Below are 22,412 nucleotides of genomic sequence, written 5' to 3'. Positions count from 1 at the left end.
TGGACCCAATGGTAGTGGCCGACTTTTCTTTTTCTTGTTAAATATAGATTTTGTTAAAATTTTGAAAAATGCAAAAAAAATTGAAAAATGCAAAAATAGGAAAATAAATCACCCATTATTCCAGTACTGAAGTAAATGGTGTCAATACACTAGTTTCAGTCCGGGCTTTGTGGTTCATGCCTGTAATCTCAGTCCTTTGGGAGGCCAAGGCCAGAGGATCACTTGAGGACAGGAATTCAAGACCAGCCCACAAAATAACGAGAGCAATATAATGAGACCCTGTCTCTACAAGAAAATTAAAAAAAAAAACAAAAAATTAGTCGGCTGTGGTGGCACGCACTTGTAGTCCAGCTACTTGGGAGGCTGAGGCAGGAGGATCACTTGAGGCAGGAGTTTGAGGCTGCAGTGAGCTATGACTGTGCCACTGCACTCCAGCCTGGGCAGCCGAGTGAGACTCAGTCTCTAAAAGGAAAAAATAAGTAAATAAATAAATGTGTGTGTGTGTGTGTGTGTATACACACACAACAATTTAAAGGTGAAAACATTAATAGGGCTTGGTAACTATCCAGACACTGGCCGGAGCCAAACCAGCCTGGCCAGCCAACTGTCCCGCCCCCAAAAAGCACAGGTTCATGTCTCTATGGTTGTTCCAGCGCCGGAACATGAGGATGTACTCTCTTCTTTTGCGGAACTCTATGGTCTGAGGACGCCGCTGTAACCCCGGAAGCAATCCTGAGAGGTCGGGACCGGCAAGATGGCGGCGCGGACAGCGTTCGGTGCTGTGTGCCGGCGCCTCTGGCAGGTACTGGATTGGCTAGGGAGACTAGGAGGGCTGACCGGGATAGTTGCTTTTAAGTTTCCCTGCCACCAGCCGCTCTGCCCATCAGGATTTTTCCTGATATTTATCCCTCACCTCGCGCCGTTTACAGGAAAGTGACGAGAAAGGGGCTAGTTTTATCAGAATTCTCTCATGGAATTAAATATAAGTTAGTGAGTCCAGGCAAAGATAGGAACAAGAATAATCGTAGAATGTCAGAGCTGGAAAAGATTTTGTACTTCGTATGTTCCAAAACCCCTCCTTTCACGCTTGCAAAATAAACTGAGGCTCAGAGAAGACAGGAAATTTGCCTCGCGAAAATTAGAGGCTGAGCTGGTGCAAGATATCAGACTCTTCCCATGGAACTAAATTGAGATGCTTTCCTGGCATCCAAATTTAGATGAAGGTCTCAAGCCAGAGAAGTGGGTTAGATATCCTCTGCGCAGTTATTTGCAGGAGGAGCAAAAACTTTTCAGCAGCGGTTCTCCTGCTTTTTGGCCTTGGGACCACTTTACACTTTCGGAGTTCAGGACTCCAGAGAGCTTTTGTTTTTGTGGGTTTTTGCTATCTATATTTAGCTTTTTGGAAAATAAAACTTAAGAATATATATTGATTTAAAAGTAACACTAACTCATTACATGTTACAACTAATACTTTATGAAAAATATATTTTCTGAACAAACTGAGTAAGGAGCAGCAATGTTTTACATTTTTGCAGCTCTCTTTAATTTCTGGCTTAATAAAAGCTAGATTCAAATCTGCTTCTGTATTTAATCTTTTCCTATATCACACCTCAGGCTGTCACGGGAAAACTTCACTGTACACTGGTAAGAGAATGAGTGGAAAAGTTGTAAATGACGTTTTGGTTTTATGAAAATAGTTTTGATTTCCCGGATCCCCTGAAAGTGTCTCAGACCCCACAGACGTCCTCAGACTACACTTTGAGACCACCGTTTTTGTTTTTGTTTTTGTTTGGAGACGGAGTTTCGCTCTTGTCGCCCAAGCTGGAGCGCAATGGCACGATCTCGGCTCACTACAGCCTCCACCTCCCGGGTTCAAGTGATTCTCCTACCTCAGCCTCCCGAGCAGCTGGAATTACAGTCATGCGTCACCATGCCCAGCTAGTATTTGTATGTTTAGCAGAGACGGGGTTTCACCATGTCGGTCAGGCTGGTCTCGAACTCCTGACCTCAAGTGATCCGGCAGCCTCGGCCTCCCAAAGTGCTGGGATTACAGCCTTGAGCCACCGCACCCGGCCTGAAAACCACTGTTCTTGAGAAAAGTCAGATGGTATTAGAGATTGAAATTTTTGAACTGCTTTATTAAGACAAATTTACCCAGACAGCCCTCCCTTCCAAACCACCACTCCCCCAACACACACACACACACACACACACACACTCTCTCTCTCTCTCTCTCTCTCTCTCAAGAAATACAAAGAAAAAATGCAATTTAAAAACTTCTTGGCCGGGCACGGTGGCTCACGCCTGTAATCCCTACACTTTGGGAGGCCGAGGTGGGCGGATCACGAGATCAGGAGATCAAGACCATCCTGGCTAACATGGCAAAACTCCGTCTCTACTAAAAATACAAAAATTAGCTGAGTGTGGCGGTGGGCCCCTGTAATCCCACCTACTCAGGAGGCTAAGGCAGGAGACTTGCTTGAACCCAGGAGGCGGAGGTTTCAGTGAGCTGAGAATGCTCCACTGTACTCCAGCCTGGGCGACAGAGCAAGACTCTCTCAAAAAAAAAAAAAAAAAGAAAAGAAAAAAAAAAGAAAAGAAAAAGCAGAGGTTTATAGTGGGAGAATGTGACTGAGAAGTGTAATATTCTTGCTCCTCTTGCACAACTCGATTGTGGGGTCACTGGTGTAATTGTTGGGAGGGAATTTTCTATGCAATTTTGTCTGAAGAATGGCACATACCTCTTACCACTTTGTGTTGTACCTGATTTCCTTTTTCCTTTTCCCCTTTGGTGCAAAGAAGATTATAGAGTTATGATTTGTCTCTATCTTGGGTAAGGAGAGGAAGGACAATAAGCTAAGAATAGGCTTTTAAAACGTGGCTAGGTGGTGGTTCACTCCTGAAATCCCAGCACTTTGGGACACTGAGGCTGGAGGATCGCTTGAGCCCACGAGTTCAAGACCAGCCTGGGAAATATGGTGAAACCCCATCTCTACAAAAGTACAAAATATTAGCTGGGCCTGGTGGCCCGTGCCTGTAGTCCCAGCTATCTGGGAGACTGGGGTGGGAGGACCACCTGAACCTGGGAGGTCCAGGCCATGATCATGCAACTGCACTCCAGCCTGGATAACAGAGTGAGACCTTGTCTCAAAAAAACCCTGAAAAAACAAACAAAAACGTACTTAGGTGACAATCATTTGTATTAATGAAACTTCACTTATGCTAAACTTCTTTTTTTTTTTTTGAGAGGGAGTCTCGCTCTGTCACCCAGCCTGGACCTCCGCCTCCCGGGTTCAAGCGATTCTCCTGCCTCAGCCTCCCAAGTAACTAGGATCACAACCGCACCGCCACCATGCCTGGCTAATTTTTGTATTTTTAGTAGAGACAGGGTTTCACCATGTTGGCCAGGCTGCTCTGGAACTCCTGACTACAAGTGATCCACCCACCTTGGCCTCCCAAAGTGCTGGGATTACAGGTGTGAGCCACGGCACCTGGCCTTATTTTCATCTTCATTGTGTTTTTAAGGATTCTATTGTGTTTCCACTTTCTCAGGTTACACTTCAAAATCTCAGAAAAGTTGAAAGGAAAAAACAGCTGTTATATGTAGTAGTATCGTTTGTTTCCTAAAACTGGAAAGTCTTGTTCCACCAGGGGGAGCTGATGGTAAAGGATTTGGAAATGTGGGTTCGTTGTAGCATGTGGCACAGTAGTTAATGATGGGTATAAGTCACAGCACATATTTCAGTTCATTATAAGCTAGTTATCCCAGCCAAGCTAAGAAATATGTATGCTTTAAAAGATGTATGAAAGCATCAAAAGAGGGATACTTCAGAATTTTTATTCCAACTCTTAACAAATTATAAAAACAATATATTTTATTGCTTAAAGATATTCAGGCAAAATAAGTATTATACTGAAGTACAATTAATTTGTAAAAAATAATGGGAAAATGAAGTCACATTTTTTCTTGATGTCCACATAATTCATAGCTTTTTTTAAATGTGAGAATTGTTTTTTTTGAAAAAGTTTTTATTCCTAATCTTTAAAATAGAGATTCTCTAGTATTTTGAGACTGCTTTTTTTTTTATCATCAGCTCTACCATTGTCCTCTTTTTTTTTTCAATCTAATTTGGCCATTTTAGTTACCCCAGTATCTTCGTCTGAAATAATGAGGTAACCTTTTAGTTTTTAGTGGAAATTATGAATGGTTTGGTAGTTGACTTTAATTCTAACACATGTCCTACTTTTTTTTTCTTTAGGGATTGGGGAATTTTTCTGTAAACACTTCTAAGGGCAATACAGCCAAAAATGGTGGCTTGCTTCTGTAAGTATACAATTGGATGTGCTAAATTGAACAAAATAGGTTCTTGTGCTATTTTACTTAGGTTTCTCTTTTTTTCCCCACACATAGCAGTACCAATATGAAGTGGGTACAGTTTTCAAACCTACACGTTGATGTTCCAAAGGATTTGACCAAACCTGTGGTATGTACTCCCTGTTTCTTGGTATAAGGAGCTACCTTGGCAATAGGTTTTCCTTATTATTTCATTGGGTTTTTTTTCCCCAAACACTCTATGAATAAAAAAATTTTGTCCTAGAATACTGGCAAATGCACAACGCATATATTCTCTTAACTCCCTGGATTATATTGTCTTCAGGGTATCAAAGTAAGTTCTAAAGGAATAAATTATTTACCCCCAAATAACTGTGTTAATTAGTAGTCTCTTGCTTTTAGCTTGGCATAATGGAAGAGTTGTCAGAATTTGTGATGTAGAATACTTGATTTATGTTATGGAAAAGTATTTTTCTTGTAGCCTTCAAGTCTTTGTTTTCATTTTGTGTATTGAGCCTGGGCCTGGACAGTGCTTTATTGTTCACAGTGAGAAAATGCGTTAGCACAAATAATAAACATCTAGAAGGAACTTGGTAACCCTGTAGAAGCTATGATTTCATCAATCCAGTTTTTTGTGTTACTTGTAATTTTTAAAAATCCTTTCATTTCCACCCCTCAAAAATAACCCCCTTTAACAGTTTGGGATTACAGTTCTAGACATTTGTCTGTAGGTACTCACTTTGTCTGTGCACATGTCTAGTTTACTGCTCTTTTCTAACTTTTCTCTTAATAGATATTGGATATTTATTTATTTATTTATTTTGAGACAGAGTCTCGCTCTGTCACCCAGGCTGGAGTGCAGTGGCATGATCTCGGCTCACCTCACCTCAGCCTCCTGGGTTCAAGTAGTTCTCATGCCTTAGCCTCCCGACTAGCTGGGATTACAGGCACACACCACCATGCCTGGCTAATTTTTGTATTCTTAGTAGAAATGGGGTTTTCCCATGTTGGCCAGGCTGGTCTCAAATTCCTGGCCTCAAGTGATCTGCCTGCCTCAGCCTCCCAAAGTGCTGGGATTACAGGCATGAGCCACCACACCTGGCCAGTACTGGATGTATTTCTATGATAGTACATTTAAGCCCCAGTCTGCAACTCACATGCCTGCAGGAGCCAGGCCTATAAGAAAAGGTGGCAGAATTGGCATGGTGTGCCACTGTCTTTATAAGCAAGACAGCAGCTACTTATTCTAGCCACTTGTTGCCCTGTGGGAAATCAGACCTAGTGATGCCAGCCTGTCTAAATCTTCCAAGCTAAACTGAAATCCAGATTTTCTTGTGAAATCTTCTGATTTTTAATATTCCTAACAAATTCAAAGTATCTTTTAACACCCTGTAGGGATCAGTCAGAACACATCTTGAGGCTATATTCCCCCTTCTCATCCCTCAACTTAGGACACAGGCTATCAGTATATTCTGTTCTTCCAACAACCCTTTTTGGAGTAATTGAGAGTGGATATCTAGCTTTCTGGCTAGTAAGTAAATCTTTCAGGAGTGAAGTGATTTAACTCTGAATCATTGGATTAGTAGTATAATTTACTGGTTTAACGGATGAATGAAATGAAGGTAATTCACCTTTTGGAAGAAAGTCAAAAATGTCAAACCCATTATTTCTAAGGTCTTTAGGTATTAGGGTGGAAGAGGTTGAAGTTATAGGTATAGTCAGTGTCATATCATTTAAATTAGAAATGAGTAATTTGTTTATTAGGGCAGACAAAACATACGCGAATAAAACCTAATAAAAAATATGAATAGAACTAACTTGGCTTTGTATAATAATGTTTTATAATTAATAAGCACTTTAATCTGTGTTTTCTTATTTTTTTCTTAGAGAAATACTATGAGCAATAGCATAGGTTTACCCTCTTTCATATGTGAGGAAACTAATGTGCAGTGAGACGATATGATTTGTCCGTTGTCATTCAGCTACCATTAGCAGAGCTTAATCCTCAATCCAAGTCTTCTGCCCAGGCTCTTTACTAGCAGACCCTGGAGTCCTTTTTCATTGTGAATTTGAAGCTGAATCGTTATTTTAAGTTGGAAAGTTCCTTTAGTAATTTTGTGGGTTGCCTTGAAAATTCTTTTCATTTACACTGTATTTTAACAGATTCTGAGGCTCATAGTCCAGATCTGAACATGAAAGTATCTAGACACTTCAGCTAACACTGCCGTCACTCAGTGTTTTTCTCCTCATTTATTAGTAAACTCTGAAGTTGTTCAATTGAGGCTAATGTTTTAAATTTGCTAGTTAGAAATAGAAGAGGAACTAAAACTGAAACTTTTCTTTTGGATTTTAGGTAACAATCTCTGATGAACCAGACATATTATATAAGCGCCTCTCGGTTTTGGTGAAAGGTCACGATAAGGCTGTATTGGACAGTTATGAATATTTTGCTGTGCTTGCTGCTAAAGAACTTGGTATCTCTATTAAAGTGTGAGTATGGCCTTTCCTGACCCGACCTGTTCGCTGCTGTAATATGATCAACCAGGAAAATAGTGCTCATCCCAGGAAGGTCTGAACTCTTTTTTTTTTTTTTTTTTGAGACAGAGTCTCGCTCTGTTGCCCAGGCTGGAGTACAGTGGCACAACCTCAGCTCACTGCAACCTCTGCCTCCTGGGTTCAAGCAGTTCTCAGCCTCCCGAATAGCTGGGACTACAGGCGCATGCCACCACGCCTGGCTAATTTTTTGTATTTTAGTAGAGATGGGGTTTCACTGTGTTGCCCAGGCTGGTCTCGAACTCCTGAGCTCAGGCAAATTGCCCGCCTCAGCTTCCCAAAGTGCTGGGATTACAGGCGTGAGCCACTGCACCTGGCCCAGTCTGAGCTCTTAAAGTGGGATAGAAACTCTTGGTGGGTAGAGCTTAAGTTTGTCATATGTTATCCTAATCAGGATCATGCCTTCCTGCCATGTTTCTGGGATCTCCATGGAGCAGGGAGGTAGAGTAGGTGAATGAACAATCGTTTTAGACCCTTTGGATGTGATGATTTTTGGCTAATACATCCATCATTTCAAATCTTCCCTAAGAAACACCACTTACCCAGTAATTTCTTGCTTGAACAAGGTAAGCCTTGGAGTCACTGCAGGGTCAAGCATAACTGTCTCCTTTGTCTTGTCATCTGCTCCTTCTGCTGTTGAACGAGGCCCCATCTGGGGCTTTGGCAGTCTGGCCTTCTGACAAAAACAGAAGGCCACGGTTTCCCAAAACAGACTATAGTTTTGTTATTTTGATTTATCTGTAGATTTTCCTAAAACAACAGACATACAGCAGGTGTTACAACTATGTCTACCACACTGGTGCTGCTCTTCACAATTAATATATTTGGTCAATAAAAGACTAAAGGGTGTAAAAGCAGCAGGTGTGTGTGTATGCTTGCACACTTGACATGCCAGGGCTTATTTTTGAGCCTGTGGGAAAAAGTTTCTATTGCTGTCTGCAGTGTTTATTTTGGCTTGAGTTTTATGATAGCAGTTGTTGTTCCAGATGACAGTTTTGGCAAATGGAAGTCTGTAAATGGTAGTTAATGCCTATAATTGAGTGTGAGTCTGACCTACAAAATTATGGAATTATGCTTTGTTATCATAGTGACTCAGGTTTTGTTTTGTCCATTAATTTCAGACATGAACCTCCAAGGAAAATAGAGCGATTTACTCTTCTCCAATCAGTGCATATTTACAAGAAGCACAGAGTTCAGTATGAAATGAGAACACTTTACAGATGTTTAGAGGTGAGTGTATTTGAGAAATTCTGGCATTTTTGAAATACCAAAAATTCACACTAGCATATAACTTTACTTTAACATTGACTAGATTGACTTCTTTCAGCAAGCCCATGTCTGTTGGTTGTACAGAAGGTAAATATCTTTTAGTGTTTATGGAAGTGTCATGGTAGGAAAAGTAAATGCAAATAAAGCAATCCTTTAGAGTAGTGCATACCTTAACTCAGGAATGCAGATTATGCAAAGATAGCATTGGAATAATTTTGCTCATATTTCAAAAATTCTAGTGAAGTTTTTACACAGTTCTAATAACTGTTTCACATACTAGCTGGATTTTCCATGTCAGTGATGCACAGCATTAGGTTTTTCATTCATCTGTTACTCATTTGTGCTTCCATTAGTGCCAGCACAGTCGTGTGCTTAAGGAGAGCATAGGTTCTGGAGTCAGACTGCCAATGCCAGAATCCAGGTCCTGTCTCTTAACAGCTGTGTGACATGTACCTCTATTCCTTCATCTATAAAATGGGAATAATAGTGGTACCCATCTCATAAGGTTAGTGTGAGGATTAGAATGGAAAATTTATGTAAGCACTCAGAATACTTTGATCACATAGTAAGTGATTGGTAAATATTAAAACAAGCACTTATGTATCTTTTATATGGGAAGTACTGTACTAGTCATTGAGGGCACAAATATAATAAAGTCATGGTCCCTACTCTTTTTTTTTTTTTTTTTTTTTTTTTTTTTTGAGATAGAGTCTCACTCTGTCACCACCTAGGCTGGAGTGCAGTGGCACAATCTAGGCTCACTGTAACCTCTGCCTTCCGGGTTCAAGCAATTCTGTCTCAGCCTCGCTAGTAGCTGGGACTACAGGTGTACGCCACCGCGCCTGGCTAATTTTTGTATTTTTAGTAGAGATGGGGTTTTACCATATTGGTCAGGCTGGTCTTGAACTCCTGACCTCAGGTGCTCCACCCACCTCGGCCTCCCAAAGTGCTGGGATTACAGGTGTGAGCCACTGTGCCTGCGCAGTCCCTACTCTTAAAAAGAAAAACCCAAATTTTATCCATCTTTGTCTGAGGGAAACGTCTCTCATAGTACACACAGAAAATCTTATATTAACTATATCTTATAATTTAGTCCTTTTGTCTTCAGTTGTTTTGTGAGCCTGGGATTTTATGTTAGATTCTTTAGGGGAGGCCAGGTGCGGTAGCTCATGCCTGTAATCCTAGCACTTTGGGAGGCCAAGGCAGGCGGATCACTTGAGGTCAGGAGTTTGAGGCCAGCCTGGCCAACATGATGAAACCCCGTCTCTACTAAAAATACAAAAAAAATTAGCTGGACATGGTGGCACACACCTGTAGTCCCAGCCACTCGGGGGACTGAAGCAGGAGATGGCTTGAACCCAGGAGGCAGAGGTTGCAGTGAGCTGAGATTGCACACACTCCAGCCCAGGCAACAGAGTGAGACTCCATCTCAAAAAAAAAAACAAAAAACCGTGCTTTAACAAACAGCTTACATGAAACATTTTCATGTTTGATGTTTTAGTTAGAACATCTAACTGGAAGCACAGCAGATGTCTACTTGGAATATATTCAGCGAAACTTACCTGAAGGGGTTGCCATGGAAGTAACAAAGGTATAGCTTGAATTTCTGCCTCTTTCGGTGGGGCGGTGGGGAGTGGTATCTGTATTGTTGTTTTGATACATTGCAGCCTGGTCCTGGCCCACTGAGTAGAGTTTGCCCTAAACTGTGGCAAACTGGGAGACACAGTTGCCACAGCGGTTGGGGGCTACCCACCCCTTGCAACAGAATCCTGCCATTTCAGCCCAAGTCCTCCGTGAACCACCTATGAAGTTCTCCCTCCTCAATATGAGTTGTCTAGACCTGGGGATCCCATTAAGTGGCAATCCATGAAGATCATTGAGGATCAAATCGATTATGTATGTGAGAGTGTTTTATAGACCATCAAGTTTCCTTCTTTCCATTTCAAAACCCTATAGAAAGACTAGGGGGATAAAAGAAAAAGAAGTAAAGAGGATTTGACCAAATTAATAAGTCCGATTTGTAGTCAAAGAGTTCTGTTAAATCCACATTATAGTTTTGTTTCTTTCTTTTTTTAGACACAATTAGAACAGTTACCAGAACACATCAAGGAGCCAATCTGGGAAACACTATCAGAAGAAAAAGAAGAAAGCAAGTCATAAAGCCTCAGGGAGGCCATTTTTGCCTAAATTTGAAATGAGGGTGGGCCAGATGAGTATGTTTAAGTGGAGAGTGCTTCCAGCTGAGATGATTTGAGTCTGCCCTAACTGCTCCATTGAGTTCTCGTGCCCTCATCAGCTGAGGGCAGGGAATGGAACTTTAATGGAAGAACCACTTTTATCTATTCTTTTTATTCATTGTTTCAGTTCTGATTTCAGCAAACATGAGCAAACCACTTTGACTGAAAGCAGAAAGAGTGAAAATTCTATTTTGTTACGCTACTGGTGTTCAATTATTAGTTTGTACCATTTTTAATTTATGTCAGTTGATGCATCTGAAAATAAGTGCTTGGAGTGTTCGTACCCTTATTTTTTTTTAAGATTCCTAGAAGGAATCTTTGGTTAATTCAGATTGAGCAGTTAAAGTTTTTGCTATTTACCTTTGTGCAGGCTGGCATATGCTAATTTGGGGGTGGTAACCAACCGATTTTATCTCATGTAAGCATTACATTTTGAAGACTGAATATACTTCACAGCAGATCAAACACATTTATGGCATGCACTGACCTCTTCTTGGAGCCCAGAACTTTATAGAGTTGCCTACCAGGGTTACTGTAATGGAATTTATGATCTTAAGAAATTACTAGTTGTATTATTTATCCTATGATTCATTCATTCAATAAGCTTTTACTGCATAAACTTTACATCCAGCACTGTAGTTAAGTACCCAAAATTGAATAGAAATAATGGCTTTTGAAAATCGCACAAAGCAGGCCAGGCACGGTGGCTCACGCCTGTAATCCCAGCATTTTGGGAGGCCGAGGCAGGCGGATCACGAGGTCAAGAGATCCAGACCATCCTGGCTAACACGGTGAAACCCCGTCTCTAATAAAAATACAAAAATTAGCTGGACATGGTGGCACGTGCCTGTAATCCCAGCTACTCAGGAGGCTGAGGCAGGAGAATTGCGTGAACCCGGGCCCGGTGGAGGCTGCAGTGAGACGAGATCGCGCCACTGCACTCCAGCCTGGCGACAGAGCGAGACGCCGTCTCAAAAAAAAAAAAAGAAAATTGTGCAAAGCATAGGTAAATATTTTTCTTTATTAAGCTTCTCACTGAGAAGCCCTCTTTATTTTGGTAAATGTCACTCTGTTTGTTAGGAGATGTCTGCTTTTCCATGAAATGAAATAGTGGCTAAAGCCCTGAAAGAGGCAAGACTACAATGGGCTGAAACAGTTGGTATAGCAACCCCAGAGAAGTGCTTCATTTTCTTTTTATAGTAGAAGCAGGTCCATGTCTTTTGTGGTTTCCTGCACATCTTTGGAGTAGTTATGACTTCTCAGTTTTTCCCCCCTTAAACTGCATTGCCTATTCTTTTTTCCTGACATGCTATCAGGTATCAGTGTGTTGAATACATACTGCTTGTGTATCAGACTTACGTTACTGTCATCACCATTAAAAGAATTGCAGCTTTGTGCCCCATGACCTTCAGCTCAGTTGTTGACTGTCATTCATGAATGCCTAAAGCATACTGACACCAGGTATAAGTACTTGAAGATCAAGAACTAGTCAATAAAACATGAGCAACATAATGGTAACTATGTGCAGCAAAGCAGCAATTTATGACACATTTTCATCTGAAGTAATTCTTTAAAAATAAATATAGACCCGGCCGGTTGTGGAGGCTCAAGCCTGTAATCCCAGCACTTTGAGAGGCTGAGGCAGGTGGATCACCTGAGGTCAGGAGTTCGAGACCAGCCTGGCCAACATGGTAAAACCCCATCTCTATTAAAAACACAAAAATTAGCTGGTCATGGTGGTGGGCGCCTGTAATCCCAGCTACTTGGGAGGCTGAGGCAGGAGGATTGCTTGAACCCAAGAGGTGGATGTTGCAGTGAGCCGAGATTGTACCATAGCACTCCATGTAAACCAAAGTCCTTAGTTTAGGACTTCCAATTATGTGTTAAAACCTCGGCTTAAATAAGCAAATGAACTACATGTGCACACATGCACGTGAGAAAAACTAGCAGTATTTCTTTTTTCTTTTTCTTTCTTTTTTTTTTTTTTTTTTTGAGATGGAATCTTGCACTGTCACCCGGTCTGGAGTGCAGTGGCGCGATCTCGGCTCATTGCAACCTCTGCCTCCCAGGTTCAAGCGATTATCCTGCCTCAGCCTCCCAAGTAGCTGGGACTACAGGCATGTGCCACCACGCCCAGCTGATTTTTGTATTTTTAGTAGAGATGGGGTTTCCCCATGTTGGCCAGGATGGTCTTGATCTCTTGACCTCGTGATCCACCTGCCTCGGCCTCCCAAAGTGCTGGGATTACAGGCATGAGCCACTGCGCCTGGCCCAAAACTAGCAGTATTTCTTCGACGAAAGTATTTGGCATATTTGAAGCCCGCTTCTTGATATAAACAAGTTTGGCATGAAGTACAGTACTGAAAAAATGATATAAACAAAATAACTTCTTAGCTTATCAGGATATAGCTATCTTGATAGGCTAAGAAGATTTTTGGTTTTCTTTTGTTGGTTTTAAATTAGGCCTCTGAGTAAAATGCATATCCTGAAAATTAGAATTAATGCCTGGGTCACACTTTCTGTCCATGGTGGGTATGGGAGATGGTGAGAGAAGAGTGGATTTGATAATATATGTTGGTGCAAAAGTAATTGCAGTTTTTGCCATTAAAAGTAATGGCAAAAAAAAAATAGAATGAACCGGCCAGGAGTGGTGACTCACGCCTGTAATCCCAGCACTTTGGGAGGCTGAGGCGGGCGGATCATGTGAGGTTGGGAGTTGGAGACCAGCCTGGCCAATATGAGAAACCCTGTCTCTTCTAAAAATACAAAATTAGCAGGGTGTGGTGGCGCATGCCTGTAATCCCAGCTACTTGGGAGGCTGAGGCAGGAGAATCCCTTGAACTCAGAGGTTGCGATGAGCCAAGATCACGCCATGGGCAACAAGAGTGAAACTCCATCTCAAAAAAAAGAAAAAAAATAGAATGAACCAGAAGGCAGGTAGGAAGTGAGATGATCTTTTTTCTTTTTCTTTTTTTTTTTTTTTTTTGTAGAGACAGAGTCTTGTTCTGTTGCCCAGGCTGGAGTGCAGTGGTACGATCAAAGCTCACTACACAATCGAACTTATGGGCTCAAGGGATCTTCCCACCACAGCCTCCCAAGTAGCTGAGACTAAATGTGTGCACCACCACACTCAGCTCATTTTTTTATTTTTTGGAGTCAGGGTCCTGCTCTGTCGCCCAGGCTGGAGTGCAGTGGCATGAACACAGCTCACTGCAGCCTTGACCTCCTGGGCTCAGATGATCCTCCTGCCTCAGCCTCCCAGGTAGTTGGAACCACAGGCATGTACCATGATACATGGCTAATTTTTTAATCTTTTTGTAGAGATGGGGGTCTCACTTTGTTGCCAAGGCTGGTCTCAAATTCCTGACCTCAAGTGATTCTTCGGCCTTGGCCTCCCAAAATACTGAGATTACAGGCATCAGCCATCATGCCCAGCCTATATTTTCTTCATATTAAATAAAATCATGTTCTCATCCAAGAGTCTTAGTATAACTACAGATCTCTGGTAAGACAGACTAAACTAGTTCAAGTGCCAAGTTTCAGTGCTTTGAAAGAATGGCATATGTTCCTGGCCCTATGACCATTTAAACATGCCACAGTGAATACATAAAGCAATCATTTTAAATTATTAGTCTAGTTTCTTAACATTTCTAGTTGTCTGCAACCATCCCTGTCTTACATTACATTATTAAGTTAGTTCTATTACAAGACTAATGAATGACAGAATAGAGCAAACATGGACTTTGGAGTCAGACAGACATGAGTCAGATAAGAGTTCAAACCCACTGACTGCCGTAAACTTGGGCAAGAGATTTAACCCTGTCAGGGCCTCAGTGTACTCATTAGTAAAGGTAATAATAAGTCTGTAGGAAATAATACCTACATACTTACATTTGACATATATTTAATGCTCCAGCTTAATAAGGTTGGAGTATTCGATAACTGATAAAAAACCTTGCACAGTATTGAGCAGGTAACAGACATTCAGTAAATGGCAGTACCATTCCGATGATACTTTAGATGCTTGTGTGCTATACTGTTCAAGAACCAGCTGGAAAAGACCTCAGGTTACCTCCAGGGTAGGGATAACATTTACCTTAGAGTTTTTGTTTTTGTTTTTTTGAGATGGAGTCTCGCTCTATCACCCATGCTGGAGTGTGGTGGCACAATCTCACTGCAAGGTCCGCCTCCCAGGTTCACTCCATTCTCCTGCCTCAGCCTCCCGAGTAGCTGGGACTACAGGCACCCGCCACCACGCCCAGCTAATTTTTTGTATTTTTAAGTAGAGACGGGGTTTCATTGTGTTAGCCAGGATGGTCTCGATCTCCTGACCTCGTGATCCGCCCGCCTCGGCCTCCCAAAGTGCTGGGATTACAGGCATAAGCCACCGCACCCAGCCCTTAGCGTTGTTTTTCAGACAGTTCTGGCTCTATCACCCAGGCTGGAGTGCAGTGACAATCTTGGCTCACTGTAACCTCCGCCTCCTGGGCTTAAATGATCCTCCTACCTCAGCCCCCTTAGTAGCTGGGACTATAGGCACACATCACCACACTCGGCTAATTTTTCTTTTTTTTTCTTTCTTTTTTTTTTCTGTAGAAACAGGGTTTTGCCATGTTGCCCAGGCTGGTCTCAAACTTGTAAGCTCAAGCAATCTGCCAGCCTCAGCCTCCCAAAGTGCTGGGATTATAGGCATGAGCCACAGCGCCCAGCCACAAACCAAAAATCCTTTGATTTTTATTAACACACTGAAGTACTTACCATTGTCCCCATTTTACAGGACAGAAAACCAAGGCTTAGAGAGTTGTTATTTGCCCACTCAGTCACCCTTTCAGCTTACAGATGAAGCTGTTAGTGACAGGGTCAGCCCTAGAAGCTAATTTGTAAGCAGGCTATGAGGTACTCAAATATCCACATACTAAATGCAGAATATTCAAAGCTAAATTCCAGGTTTGTTCACCTCTCACGTTACCAAAATGTACTCGTTTCCTCTAAAGCAGGGGTGTCTAATCTTTTGGCTTCCCTGGGCCACATTGAAAGAATTGTCTTGGGCCACACATAAAATACACTAACGCTAATAATAGCTAATTAAAAAAAAAATCATGAAAGAAAATCTCACAATGTTTTAAGAAAGTTTACCAATTTGTGTTGGGCTGCATTCAAAGCCGTCCTGGGCCGCATGCAGCCCGTGGGCCTCCAATTGGATAAGCTTGGTCTAAAGCTTAGAAGTAAAGTGATTGACTGGGAGGAAAAATTAATGAATTAAAGCAAGAAGCAAGATACACGGCACAATTTAGGTGGTCCCACTGCTCAGACTGGTCCTGAGGGAGGGGGCAACACAAGAGTTTAGGCATCAGCAAGGGGAGTCCTACTCGGTCACAAGAACACTCAGATGGAGATGATTCACAGTGGGGCTTCAGGTCCAGCCTGACTAGGGCTCAGAAGACATGGGTTTGTCGATTTTAAGCATATCTTTGCCCCTGGAGCCAGGCTTATGGCTGACTGCCTGCAATCCCCAGGACTCTCTTTCCAAATCCCCTGCTCAATTCCTAACCCTGCCCTCCTTAAATCCTTTCTATTGTTACTCACTTCAAGCTCTCATTTCTCTCTATGGATTCTTAATCCTCTTTATTTTATTTATCTATTTATTTATTTATTTTATTTTTATTTATTTATTTGTTTATTTTTTGAGACAGGGTCTGACTGTCGCCCAGGCTGGAGTGCAGTGGCACAATCTCGGCTCACTGCAACCTCTGCCTCCCAGGTTCAGGCGATTCTCGTGCCTCAGCTTCCTGAGTAGCTGGGATTACAGGCACCCGCCACCACGCCCAGCTAACTTTTGTATTTTTAGTAGAGATGGGGTTTCGGTGTGTTGGCCAGGCTGGTCTCAAACTCCTGACCTCAAGTGATCCGCCCACCTCAGCCTCCCAAAGCGCTGGGATTACTGGCTTGAGCCACCATGCCCGGCTGGATTTCTAATCCTCTTTAAAATGATATATTTATAACTCAGTAGCTCAGCGACATTTATTTATAGGGCAGGTCATGGGCAACTGACCCACATGAAAAACCAATTGAATTTTAAATTCCTCGGCCAGAGGTTAAATCAAGTTATATTTCACTCATAAAATTTCTTAACTTGGGCAGAGATACTGTACTTTAATCAATCTTCAATGCTGCTTAAATAATAAGTGTTAAGAGATGGATGGAGCCTGGCCAACATGGCAAAACACCACCTCCACTAAAAATACAAAAATTAGCTGGGCATTCCAGGTGCTTAGGAGGCTGAGACATAAGAATTGCTTGAACCCGGAAGATGGAGGTTGCAGTGAACCGAGAGTGTTCCACTGCACTCCAGCCTGGGTGACAGAGGAAGACCCTGTCTCCCTGTCTAAAAAAAGAGAGATGGATGGGAATAATACTACCTTCACACCAAGCCAGTTGAGATGCTGCTGTTACAGAGCCACGGCTGCTGATGGGCATGTGTTATCTTAAAGTGTGTTGAGATGGGTAATTGGAAATTAATGGGCTAGATAATCTTCAAGGCCTTTTCCAGTTCTAAAATCCCATTATCATTTTTATCTCAACAAATACCTGCTAATCTAGACACTAAACAGAGTCAAAGAGGAATTGTCTTGTAAAATGAAGGAGTGATAGCTGACGTTAATTCAGCATTGACCATGTGCCAAGGACCTTGCTCAGTTACTCAACAAGTATTTGAGTTTCCTGTACATGCCAAGTACTGTTCTAAACGCTGGGAATTCTGGAATGTATATAGTGAAGTCCCTCTCCTCAAAGATCATAGACTTTAGTGAGAGAGACAGACAAGTAGAGAAAAAAATAAGATAGTTTCAGATGCAATTAAGTACTGTGAAGAAAATAAAATGGGATAATATCAGAATTACTTGAGTGGCTACCTGAGGGGGAGTTGGGAAAGTTCTCTCTGAGGAGGAGGCAGTGGTGTTAACATCTGGAGGAAGAAGCTGGGTGTGGTCACTCATGCCTGTAATCCCAGCACTTTGGGAGGCTGAGATGGGTGGATCACCTGATGTCGGGAGTTCGAGACCAGCCTGGCCAACACGGTGAAACCCCATCTTTACTAAAAACACAAAACCTAGCCGGGCTTGCTGGCGGGTGCCTATAGTCCCAGCTACTCGGGAGGCTGAGGCAGGAGAATCGCTTGAACCTGGGAGGCGGAGGTTGCAGTGAGCCGAGGTTGTGCCATTGCACTCCAGCCTGGGCAACAAGAGCGAGACTCCCATCTAAAAAAAAAAAAAATCTGGAGGAAAAACAGTCCAAGTAGGAGGAACAATACATGCAAAGACACACTGATTCTAGAAGGAGTTTGGTGTGTTTGCAGTGTAGAAGACCATGAAGACAGAAGTAGGCAGGGACTAGATCGTGTAATGCATCATAGGCATGGGGAGGAGTGTGGATTTTATTCTCAGCAAATGGAAAGCTAAAGGAGGGTTTGAGCAGGAGAGTGGCAGGATCTGCTGTATGCTACTGTGGCTGCTGGGTGAAAGAGGAGTGACGAGAGGGCAGGGAGACCAGTTAGGGATCTGCTGCGGTGGACCAGGTGAGATGATGCTGGTCTGGGCGAGAATGTCAGGAATGGAGGTGAGGAGAAGTGGTTTGATTTAGAGTATAGTTTGCAGGAAGAGCTGATGAAATGACCTACTAGTAGATTGAAGTGAAATCTAAAGGAAAGAGCATTCAAGGATAATTCCTGGGTTTTCACCTAAGCGTAAATAGCAGTGCCATTACTGAGGTGGAGAAGAGATAAGGTGGGACTCGGGAAGGAAATCAGTAATTTGGTTTTGGCCTTGCTAAGTTTGCAATCTGAGTATAGATGTCCAGTAGGCAGTTGAATACATGCATCTGGAGTTCCTGGGAGAGGTCCAGGCTGAAGATACAAATTTGGAACCTGCCAGCCTGTAAATGGTGTGTAATGGCATGGGAATGAATGAGATCATCTAGGGAGCAAGTGTGGGTAAACAAAGGAAGAGTACTAAAGACAAGCCTGGAAAGCTCCCAGCTTTTAGAGATTTGGTTAAAAGCAAGAGGTGCTAGCAAAGAAAATGAGCAATGAGTGAGGCTGGAGTGAAATCAGAGGAGTGTGGGTCCTTGAAATGTAGAGTGGAGAAAGAACTTAGTTTGGTGAACTGTGATGAATCTGTGGCAGGTTAGGTTAAAAAAAAAAAAAAAAAAAAAAAAAAAAAAGTAGATCATTGGTGACCACAATAAAAGCCATTTCTGTGGAGTGATGGGGATGAACGTCCAGTTGGAGTAAGTTGAGGAAAGAATAAGAGATTTAAAAAGAGGATGCAAAATAGGTTTGAGAATTTCCCAGTTATCTATTGCTACCTCAAAAAACACTTAACACTTAGTAGCTTAAAACAGTGACTCTGCAGGGATAGTGTCTGCTCCATGTGGTATTAGCTGGGGTAGCTCAGAAGCTGGGGCTGGAGTAGCTCAGAAGCTGGGGCTGGAGTCATCTGAAGGCTCATTCACCCATGTCTGGTGGTTGAGACTGGCTTTCAGCCAGAACCCCTGCATGTGCTCTGGGCTTCCTCACAACATGGTGGCTGGGTTCCAAGGGCAAGTTCTGAGAAAGAGAGCCTGGTGGAAACCTATCACTTTTGATGACCTAGCCCTGGAAGTCACATTGTGTCATTTCTGCAGTTATCTTCAACAAGGCAGCCAGAAAGTTTCCTCCGGGTTGAAGAGAAAGATAATAGACTCCTCCCTTTGATGGGAGGAATGCGTGAAGCCAGAATGATCGTCCTGCCATTTTCTGAAGATACATCTGCCACAAGGGGCTTTGTTGTAAGGGGAGCAAAATTTAGGACAATAGCTGGGCAGGGGATGTGGGCAGGTCAGTTTACCCAGTAGGCACAGTGCCTAGGGCCCAATATTTTAAATTTCTTTTAAAACCAAAATAAAGGCCAAGTGTGGTGGCTCATGCCTATAATCCCAGCAGTTGGGAGGCCAAGGCAAGAGGATCACTTGAACCCAGGAGTTCAAGACTGGGAAACATAGTGAGACCTTGTCTCTACTAAATATCAAAAAATTAACCAAGCATGGTGGCGCACAACTGTAGTCCTAGATACTCAGGAGGCTGAGGCGGGAGGATTGCTTGAGCCCAGGAGGTCGAGGCTGTAGCGAGCCCTGATAGCACCAGTGCACTCCAGCCTGGGCAACAGAGACCCTGTCTCAGGATAAATAAATTAGTTAATTAAAATAAAATCGGAGCCGGGAGCGGTGGCTCATGCCTGTAATCCCAGTACTTTAGGAGGCCAAAGTGGGTGGATCACTTGAGGTCAGGAGTTCAAGACCAGCCTGACCAACATGGTGAAACCCTGTCTCTACTAAAAATAGAAAATAAGCCAGGCATGGTGGCGTACGCCTGTAATCCCAGCTACTTGGGAGGCTGAGGCAGGAGAATCACTTGAACCCGGTGGGGCAGAGGTTGCAGTGAGCCGAGATCGTGCCATTGCACTCCAGCCTGGGTGACAGAGCGAGACTTCGTCTCAAAATAATAATAATAATAATAATAAAATAAAATCATAATTTAAAAGAAACACCGAGTCTAGATTATGTTCTTTTTTATACCAGTGATAATTATTAATATTTACTTATTTAATATTTTTTCAGTATTTGTATTATGACCCATGAAGGCAAAAACGTGTGGGGCCCGTGAATGTCATAATGTAGCCCTGAATGTGGGGTCAAGGAAGGATTTTTGTCTTGTTTTAATAAAGGCAATATTACAGCACACCTGAATGCTGACGGGAATGATCCATTAGAGAGGGATGAGTGGAGGCTGCAGAAGAGAAAGGGAGTAACTGCGGGAAGGAAGCTTTCGAGTAGGTAAAGAGAGATGTGATCTAGGAAACAAGTGGCGGTGTTGACGGGGACAAGGGGAAGGGCACGCTGCTTCCACTGAGACCGGAAGGGGGCAGAGGACATGGGCACAGATACAGAGAAGTTGGTAAACACTGGTGGGAAGATGAGTCACTGCCTCATCTGTCTCTGTGAAGTGTGCAACAGTGTGGGAGTGAGTGGAAGGTTTGAGGGCAGGAAGCGCTGTGGAATAGTCATCTCAGAGAGGGGGAGAGGGAATTCGGCAGGAAGAGTATGTAGTATGATTGTCTGGCATGATCTGAAGTGCGTACAGCCAGCATGATTTATGATGTCCTCCAATGATGTCCAGGCTCCCCACTGTAGGCAAAGTGTTACTGCATAGTTAGTGAACAGCCTTAACCAGGGCCAGGCCAAGTGAGGCGTTAGGAGGAGAGAGGGGCACAAAAGTCAAAATGGAGAGAATGCTGGGCCATGGAATGAAGATAAGGAGGAGAGTGAGGAGATGAGCAAGATGACAGATGTTAAAAACAGATCAGCAGGTTGGAAGTCGCAATGAGATTAGTGAATTATTGGAGTGAAGGTATTACAGTAACAGATGGAAGGGGTGGGGTGCTGATAACAGACGGCAGCGTTTGAATGTTTCAGAGGTAGTAGAGATTGGTGACAGCAAGGCCTAGGGTGGTGATCCTCAAACTTCAGTACGCATTGGAAGCACCTGGAGGGCTTGTTAAAACACAGACTCCTGGCCCCAGCCCACAGTTCCTGATTCAGCAGGTCTGAGGTGGGGCCTGAGACATTGCATTTCTAGCAAGCTCCCAGATGCTGCACTTGTGGCTCAGGGACCACAAGTGAATGGAAGTACTAGGTAAGGTGGAAGAAAAGCTCTTTGGAACTAAAGAGATCAAGGACCAGGCCAGGCCCGGTGGCTTACGCATGTGGGACCATGCCAGGTTGCCAGCAATTAGAGACTAAGAGGGCAGTGTGACCCCCACACATCTCACTGGGGCCGGGCGCAGTGGCTCATGCCTGTAATCCCAGCACTTTGGGAGGCCAAGGCGAGCAGATCATCTGAGGTCAGGAGTTCGAAACCAGCCTGGTCAACATGGTGAAACCCCATCTCTACTAAAAATAGAAAAATTGGCCGGGCATGGTGGCAGGCACCTGTAATTCCAGTTACTAGGGAGGCTGAGGCAGGAGAATCGCTTGAACCCGGGTGGCGGAGTTCACAGTGAGCCGAGATCGCACCACTGCATTCCAGCCTGGGTGAAAAGAGCAAAAACTCTGTTTCAAAAAAAAAAAAAAAAAAGAGAGAGAGATCAAGTACCTTTGAGGCCAGTGTATGGGATGGGCTGTTTATCCACTTGGAGGTCACAGTCACTGAAATGACTGACATGATGCTTTGAGACAAGCAGGGAAGTCACCAGTGAATGACAGTAATGAGGAGAAGTAAATAGTGGCAAGGAGTCAGATGTGGCTTCAAAGGGACTGGCCTTTTTTGGGGAGAAAAAAGTAAAAGGCCATTTGGAGGCAAGAGTTAGAAGCGAGGAGGACACTAGCCCTGTTATCTAGACCTTGAGGTGTGTGTGGGGGAGAAAAACCCACCACCACTTGAAAGGATGACAGAAGAAATCACATTTCTCCTTCAGGAATAGCAAGAAAGTTAAAAGAGCTTTCAGAGCTCAGTGACGTCTGGAGGCAGAGAACAGTGAGAGAGGAGGTCAGGCCTGGAGATGTGCAAAACAATTCAGGCTGAACACCCAGTGAGGGATGGGTAGGTTAAGGATAGATTCACTGGAACTGCTGCCTCTGAAGTCTTCTAGAAAAATGAGTGTCACTGGGCGTGGTGGCTCATGCCTATAATCCCAGCACTTTGGGAGACCAAGGCGGGTGGATCACTTGAGGTCAGGAGTTTGAAACCAGCCTGGCCAACATGATGAAACCCCATCTCTACTAAAAATACAAAAATTAGCTGGCTGCTGGGTGCATCAAACCAACATGGCACATGTATACCTATGTAACAAACCTGTATGTTGTGCACATGTACCCTAGAACTTAAAGTATAATAAAAAAAAAAAAAAGAAGAAAAAATAGCTGGGTGTTGTGGTGTGCACCTGTAATCCCAGCTGCTCGGGAGGCTGAGGCATGAGAATCACTTGAAC

The 22,412-nt window shown here is 43.2% G+C and overlaps 1 protein-coding gene across 9 annotated transcripts, besides 5 other annotated features; it reads left to right on the top strand.

The window, feature by feature from the left end:
• Positions 576-855: an enhancer, noted in NCBI's record as "active region_24543". NCBI's record gives its function as "activates an Ori minimal core promoter by ATAC-STARR-seq in GM12878 lymphoblastoid cells {active_cell/tissue: GM12878}" and the evidence as "EXISTENCE:reporter gene assay evidence [ECO:0000049][PMID:35858748]".
• Positions 743-11,797, top strand: MRPS10 (mitochondrial ribosomal protein S10). Of its 9 annotated transcripts, none has more exons than XM_011514725.4 (8): positions 743-802; positions 1,615-1,644; positions 4,260-4,324; positions 4,415-4,484; positions 6,687-6,823; positions 8,008-8,116; positions 9,657-9,746; positions 10,232-11,797. In XM_011514725.4, the coding sequence occupies exons 1-8, from the start codon at positions 755-757 to the stop codon at positions 10,313-10,315; spliced, it is 633 nt and encodes a 210-aa protein (XP_011513027.1). In that variant the 5' UTR covers positions 743-754; the 3' UTR covers positions 10,316-11,797. The 9 variants fall into 9 exon arrangements, 8 of the variants coding, with proteins under 8 accessions (XP_011513027.1, NP_001423567.1, NP_001425135.1 ...); NM_001436638.1 differs by having other exon boundaries at positions 4,412-4,484; NR_199179.1 differs by lacking the exon at positions 1,615-1,644 and having other exon boundaries at positions 4,386-4,484.
• Positions 1,427-2,028: an enhancer, noted in NCBI's record as "H3K4me1 hESC enhancer chr6:42184314-42184915 (GRCh37/hg19 assembly coordinates)". NCBI's record gives its function as "activates a minimal SCP1, AML or CMV promoter by ChIP-STARR-seq in primed H9 embryonic stem cells {active_cell/tissue: H9 hESC(primed)}" and the evidence as "EXISTENCE:reporter gene assay evidence [ECO:0000049][PMID:30033119]".
• Positions 2,029-2,631: an enhancer, noted in NCBI's record as "H3K4me1 hESC enhancer chr6:42183711-42184313 (GRCh37/hg19 assembly coordinates)". NCBI's record gives its function as "activates a minimal SCP1, AML or CMV promoter by ChIP-STARR-seq in primed H9 embryonic stem cells {active_cell/tissue: H9 hESC(primed)}" and the evidence as "EXISTENCE:reporter gene assay evidence [ECO:0000049][PMID:30033119]".
• Positions 18,648-19,334: a transcriptional cis regulatory region, noted in NCBI's record as "candidate enhancer chr6.2920 targeted for multiplex CRISPR interference". NCBI's record gives its function as "positively regulates MRPS10 gene expression in K562 cells {active_cell/tissue: K562}" and the evidence as "EXISTENCE:mutant phenotype evidence [ECO:0000015][PMID:30612741]".
• Positions 20,205-21,157: a transcriptional cis regulatory region, noted in NCBI's record as "candidate enhancer chr6.2919 targeted for multiplex CRISPR interference". NCBI's record gives its function as "positively regulates MRPS10 gene expression in K562 cells {active_cell/tissue: K562}" and the evidence as "EXISTENCE:mutant phenotype evidence [ECO:0000015][PMID:30612741]".

Source organism: Homo sapiens, chromosome 6, assembly GCF_000001405.40.
Source record: "Homo sapiens chromosome 6, GRCh38.p14 Primary Assembly".
Lineage (NCBI taxonomy): Eukaryota > Metazoa > Chordata > Mammalia > Primates > Hominidae > Homo > Homo sapiens.
The sequence above is the reverse complement of the archived record's forward strand: the minus strand, read 5'-3'. Positions and strand labels throughout refer to the sequence as shown.